The sequence below is a fragment of the Homo sapiens genome, chromosome 11 (genome assembly GCF_000001405.40).
Source record: "Homo sapiens chromosome 11, GRCh38.p14 Primary Assembly".
Classification (NCBI taxonomy): Eukaryota; Metazoa; Chordata; class Mammalia; order Primates; family Hominidae; genus Homo; species Homo sapiens.
The window spans coordinates 102,981,025-102,987,885 of record NC_000011.10 but is presented as its reverse complement, the minus strand read 5'-3'; the positions used below and the strand labels follow the sequence as shown (position 1 = coordinate 102,987,885).

At 38.9% G+C, this 6,861-nt stretch overlaps 1 annotated feature.

The window, feature by feature from the left end:
* Positions 5,832-6,419: an enhancer, noted in NCBI's record as "NANOG hESC enhancer chr11:102852196-102852783 (GRCh37/hg19 assembly coordinates)". NCBI's record gives its function as "activates a minimal SCP1, AML or CMV promoter by ChIP-STARR-seq in primed H9 embryonic stem cells {active_cell/tissue: H9 hESC(primed)}" and the evidence as "EXISTENCE:reporter gene assay evidence [ECO:0000049][PMID:30033119]".

The following is a 6,861-nucleotide window of genomic DNA, read 5'->3' as shown; positions in this document are numbered from 1 at the left end:
GTTCTCTTTGTTGGACATATCTTTCCTCAGTCTGTCTGCCTTTTTACAAACTATATTTTTTTCATTTTTGTATCATCATGCCTATTTGTCTTTTTCCATTGTGATTTATTCTTTTACCTCTAAGCTGAGAGAGTCATCCTTTTCAAGAAGTCTAGTTAATATTTAATTGCTTTTTTCCCTAACTTTTGTACAGTTTGATCCATCAGGAATTCATTTTTAATAGTTAAAAAATTCTTTATAAGGTTCCCCCCCCCTTTTTTTTTTTTTAAGACAGAGTCTCACAAAAAAGACTCAGCCTCCCGAGTAGCTGAGATTAGAGGTGTGTGCCACCATGCCCAGCTAATTTTTGTATTTTTAGTAAAGACAGGGTTTCGCCATGTTGGCCAGGTTGGTCTTGAACTCCTGGCCTCAAATGATCCATCCACCTCGGCTGCACAAAGTGCTGGGACTGCAGGCGTGAACCACCGTGCCTGGCCCAAAAATTCTTTATAAGGTTTTCTACAGGCAGATGAGAAGTTCTAATTTCTTGTTTTTATGAGAACAATATAATTTTGAGCATGGTTTCTTAAAATTGAGCAATATGCAGACCCCTTTTTAAAAAAGAATATGGTAGTCTTCAATGATAAAAAAAAATTATTATGTAAACTCCCGTTATGGGTTGAATTGTGTCTGCCCCCAATTTTTATGCTAAAGTCCTAACCCCCAGAATCTTGGAGTGTGGTCTTTAATTTAGATATATGGTCATTGCAGAGGTAATTAGTTAAGATGACCTCACACTGGAATAGGCCTCTGATTCAATATGACTCATGGGTGTGCTTATAGAAGGGGAAATTTGGACACAGACATATGCACAGGGAGAATGCCATGTGAAGATTAGAGTTATGCTGCCACAACCAAGAAACTACCAGAAGCCAGGAGAGAGGCCTGGAACAGATCCTTCCCTAGCTCCTCAGAGGATGCATGGCCCTGTCAATCTCGGACTTCTAGCCTATAAAACCGTGAGATAATAAATGTACATTGTTTAAGCCACCTTGTTTTTGGTACTTTGTTATAGCTGCCCTAGCAAACTAATACACTTACATATGCACAAACTAATACTAGTCATACATGAACCTATAATTCTTTTGCAGCATCAAAGCAAAGCACATTTACAAAATACATAAAGCCAGGTTTGAAATGAACTCCATTAAGTTGATACAACGTTCAGTGCAAATTGCTGAAACTAGATTTTGGCTCCCAATATGAATGTGTTCCTGACTTTCCTTATTCGCATATGGGTGTAATGAAATTCTCCCACCCTTTCTCTACCCCAGAATCTTCCTTCACACAATGCTTATCGCATCATTCAGTTTTTACTTGGCCTAGTCAGTTCTGTTCTGTTCTTTCTTCAGTCATCCTCAATAATTTTAAAACTTAACAATAATAAACTTGGACCCTGAAATTATGCCATAGTTCCTGGTTACAAGGTGGTCATTCAAATAATTTAGGTTATGCTCATGTTGATTACTTTTAGTTGATCATTAAAATGAAAATACAAAATAAAAAATTCTCATGGGAACATTGCAGACTCCTAAGAATACACGCACAAATTACCAAGCATTCAGAAACCTTGATTTGGGAAAAGTGCAATCCTGAGAGACCCTTTCGTTTGGTGAGGTTTACCCTGGGAACACTCTCTCTACTCTTCTTTTCAGTTAATCAACTGGATTATTGGGGCAGAGAGATTTCCTGCATGTTCTCACTCTGGTTTGCTTTTCTGTGTTATGGTTGATGACTTGAAGTCCTACTTCCCTTTCAGAGAATTCTGAAGATGCTGTCACTGCTTCCTCAAAGCCAGCTTTTTTGCCACCACCAGGCAGTAAACACCTAAGCTGTGAATAGGGTTCAATACAGTGTTCTCATGACCTAATGCAAAGGCTTATTTAAAAAAATAAATAAATATAATAACTTCAGGTCAGCCAAGAATGTGAGCTGAAAACAAACCAGTCAAAGACCAACAAGAAAAGATGAATTCATATAAGCATTTACTGAAAAAAATTTAAAATCCCGACAATGTAAATCTAGACTGCTGTGGTCTCACTTCCCAAAACACCCAGGGTAGGAACCGGAAAGCCAGCAAACCACTTCTCATGCTCTATAATTTGGAAGAGGAGAGAACTAGATTTCACAGCATTTGGACACCTTTGCTCAAATATACTATAAGCACTTTTTCCCCCTTCAAATTTCTGGGAAAACTAGCATTTCTCTAAAATAAACGCCAGATTTTACCCAAACCTGGGCCAAAAAAAAAAAACCACACACTTTAAGAATTTATTCAAGGTTTCTTGTAGAAATAAGCATCACAATCATTGAAACATTCTAAGTTAATTTCACCAATGCTTGCTAATGGGATCAGTAGACATGGGATGTGCTGACTTATTCCTTTGTGCAGTGCCACATCCTGGGGCAGGATGAGAGAAGTGATATCTTTAAGCTTGAGAACATTTAGCTGATTGCTTCCCAAGGCAGCTTTGAAGCTGACATGATTCAGCCAATCAAATAGTTTGTATCATGGGTAGACTAGAGAGAGTATGTGGCATGGAAAGGAAATCTAAATTTGAATCCTGGAGGACTTTAGATAGACAAGTTCTTATATTTTCTTAGCTCTTGCTTTTACATGTGTAACCTGAAGAAATTGACCTCCTTTATAGGATATTATAAACATTAATTGAAATAAAATATGTAAAGTACTTCTGCCTCACACACACACACACATTATATACATTATATACTCAAACACAAATATTAGGTAGAACCATTAGAAATTGCTGATATTGGTCATTTTTGACCTACAAAAATGGCAATTTCACGTGGTTTGACTTAATATGTATGTAAAGAATTATAGGCAGTAGCAAAAAAGTAAGGAATGTCACCTCTTTGAGTTACACATGATGTTTAAAATATGAAGCACCCATACTTTAAGACATAATGGATAGTGCAATAAGACATATAGGTGCTGCAGGCCGGGCTCGGTGGCTCATGCCTGTAATCCCAGCACTTTGGGAGGCCGAGGCGGGTGGATCACAAGGTCGGGAGATCGAGACCATCCTGGCTAACATGGTGAAACCCCGTCTCTACTAAAAATACAAAAATTAGCCTGGCGTGGTGACAGGCACCTGTAGTCCATAGTCCCAGTTACTCGGGAGGCTGAGACAGGAGACTGGCGTGAACCCGAGAGGTGGAGCTTGCAGTGAGCCGAGATCGCACCACTGCACTCCAGCCTGGGCGACAGAGCAAGACTCCGTCTCAAAACAAAAACAAAAACAAAAACATATAGGTGCTGCAGTGGGAGAAGAGAAAACAAAAGGGCAGAACAATAGCCATGTGCCCATTCTTAAGTGCATGTCTAAGAAAGGGCACAGCAAGAGAACTGAACTAGGCCCTAGGCCCACTTTGGCATATATATGCTGTGCTAACATAAACGCTTAAAAAAAAAAGTAATTTGTGAGCTGAAAAAAGAGAATATGCCCAATACCCAAGGCAAATTAAAAATACACTTTGATATTGTCTTGATACTTATGTTTTAATTCAATTAACCCTGCGGTGTTGTTTAATGTTGATGCATGTTGATGCCAGGATGTCAGTCATAATATTTTGCTCATTAGCCGTTATTTGCTATCCTAATGGAATGGGCTAGCCCTGAGACATGCAAGATTACAGTTGTTTTTCAGCTTTTCAGACTTGTAATGAACAATGTTCTACCAATTTGCCACCCCCACATTCGGTCTCCTGGAAATAACTTGCCACTCTCAAGTTTTGTCTCCAGATTAGTGGTTCAGATCTTGTGTTTTCAGTTAGGTGACTTTCCTACCTGGTGGCCGGATGAATCCTGTGGCTTTTTCCAGTTAGGAGACAGAGTGGCCACTAACAGGAACTGGGTCAAAATGGTGAAGACTCAGGTCATGAGTGGTTTATTTATGGCAGACAGCAAAACTAAAAGGAGGTCAGAAGGTCAGCTTAGTAGCTGACTTGGAGTCTTACCTTTTGGGCTTGAGAAAAGTTCAAAAAAATGTAGCTTCATGGGAGCTGGAATAGGGGATGATCTATTAGAGTGAAGGACTCAAGAGTGGTTTATATCCCTATATTCATTAAATTCATGAGTTCTTCTGGAATTATGAGTTCAGGGAAACCCTCCAACTATTTAGCAAATACAGAGATTTCATCACGTTTCCCACCAGACAAGTACAGACCAATGCATTGCTCAATGTCTGTATGGTAAAATTATATGGTGTGGTATATGTAAAAGAGGAAAAGCCATAAATGGAGGACATCTTATTCCCCAGTAGAGTGGTGCCAATTTCGGTTGGTAGCACCACTGTGGCTTCCAGGAATCTAAAGAAAAATAAAAATATTATTTTAAATGGTTTCCCTAATGTGACACATTTACTTCAGAACAGAAGCATAAAATGTTCGACTCAGTAATGATATTCTAGACCTTATAATGGGATCTTGATGAACCTTTAATTATTATAGAATTATTCTCTAATTATTTTTGCTTATTTTCTCTTTTTTCTCCTGATTGGCTTATTGCGGGGTTTTTGTTTTTTGTTTTTTCAAGACAGAGTCTCACTCTTTTGCCCAGACTGGAGTGCAGTGTCAACCTCTGCCTCCCAGGTTCAAGCAATTCTCCTGCCTCAGCCTTCCAAGTAGTTGGGACTATAGGCATGCACCACCATACCCAGCTAATTTTTTGTTTTGCTAGAGATGGGGTTTCACCATGTTGGCAGGCTGGTCTTGAACTCCTGACCTCAGGTGATCTGCCCACCTTGGCCTCCCAAAGTGCTGGGATTACAGGCCTGAGCCACTGTGCCAGCCTTATTGCAGGTTATTTTTTGAGAATGAGATCTGGGTAACAAGCTATCTTTATTTTGACTTGGAATTTTTTTCTGCCCAAGATTTGAGAAACTCTGCCCCAGTAATTATTTAGGATAAGTTTACCCAGATGTTGATTAGAAGTGTTGTGTGGAGATAACATGTCAAATATAAATAAGTATCCACTTTGGCATGTTATTTATTTATTTAATTTATTTTGAAGCAGAGACTCATGCTGTTGCCCATGCTGGAATGCAGTGGTGCAATCTCAGCTCACTGCAACCTCTGCCTCCTGGGTTCAAGTGATTCTCCTGCCTCAGCCTCCTGAGTAGCTGGGACTACAGGTGCCTGCCACCACGCCCGGCTAATTTTTGTATTTAAGTAGAGATGGGGTTTCACCATGTTGGTCAGGCTGTTCTTGAACTCCTGACCTCAAATGATCTACCCACCTCAGCCTCCCAAAGTGCTGGGATTACAGGCGTGAGCCACTGCATCTGGCCTGGGATGTTACTTTTTATCTAAACAAATTGGCTACTCTATAAGACAAAATCTGTAGTAGTAGAAGTAGTAGTAGTAGTAGTAGTAGTAGTAGTAGTAGTAGTAGTGGTAGTTAGTAGTAAAGACATGGTCAATTTCAGAACTATGTAATACAATGAAATCCACACTTTATTTTCAAGATGCCTACTGGTGATTATTGTAAAATGTTTTAGTGTGTATCAGTAGGTGAAAAGCACTGGAGTACCACCTTACTTAGGAAGTCGCCTGAGCCCAGGACAACTTTCTTTTTCTCCTAGCTTGGTCCTTGGGATCATTTGTTATTTGCTGGTGAAAGGAAGCAAGGTATGCCACACCGAAATATGCCACTTTGACATAAAGATTATTTTTAGGTAAAGGCAATTGAGAAGAAGCAGACACAAGAAAGGTCTCTGCCTTCGTCCTATCTGCCTAAAAGTGGGATATAAATTTGTCAAGGTGTTCCCCCTTCCCTCTCTACCAGGAAAGACAGAAGTTAATCACCAGAGACCACTCTAGACCTTTATCATCCTGAAGACTGCACCCAGAGTAGTCTACATAGCAAATACTAACCAGCCTTTATCTATAATTAATTTCCCTACATATTTGCTCTCCCACAATTTGCCACCCCAGAAATTCAAAGTACTTTTCCTTTGTTTTGTCACTTCTCTACAAATTGTTCTTTTGTTAAGATGTGATCTAACCCCAAGTTCTAATCACCTCTTTGAGTTACTCATCACTGACTGCTCCTTTGTGTATACACAATGCACATGCTAGCAAACTTCTGCTTGTTTTTCTCTTGCTAATCTGTCAATTGCTAGTCTAACTTACAGGGCCCCATTTTCCCCTACATTTGCCTGGGACTCTCTAAGCAAACAACTCCATTGAGTTATCTGTATGAATTGTTAACAACAAGCAGAAAGTGATTTGGCTGATTTTTGTCCCCAGATGGGTTAAGGGCACTAACCAAATGTTATATACAGATCTGAATCTTTCAGTCTTGAGTGTTTACTTCTTGATATTTTCCCTCTTTTGACTTTCAGTTTCATGTTCTTTCTGGGGGATATGACTCTCTCTCTCTCTCTTTTTCTCCTCAAACTCTGAATTTCAGTTTCCTGATCTGTAAGAAGGAAATAATAATAAAATATTCATACTCATTAAGTATTATTACATGATTAAATGAGGTTATTCAAGTCACAAAATAAGCATTAGCTATTATCACCATTCTTCTTATTTAATTTCTATGTCAGTGTGTATAATGCAGAATAGTGGTAGAGGGACAAATTAGCCAAAAAGAAACTTTCTTAGTATAAAAGTGATTGATTCAAGGACTATTCTTTTGGTCAGTTTCAGAAATATGTAATACAAGGCACACTTTATTTTCAAGATGCCTACTGGTGATTATTGTAAAATGTTTTAGTGTGTTTCAGTAAGTTAAAAGTGTTGGACTAACACCTTACTTAGGAAATCAACCTAAGTGATTTGGGAGTTGTTAAC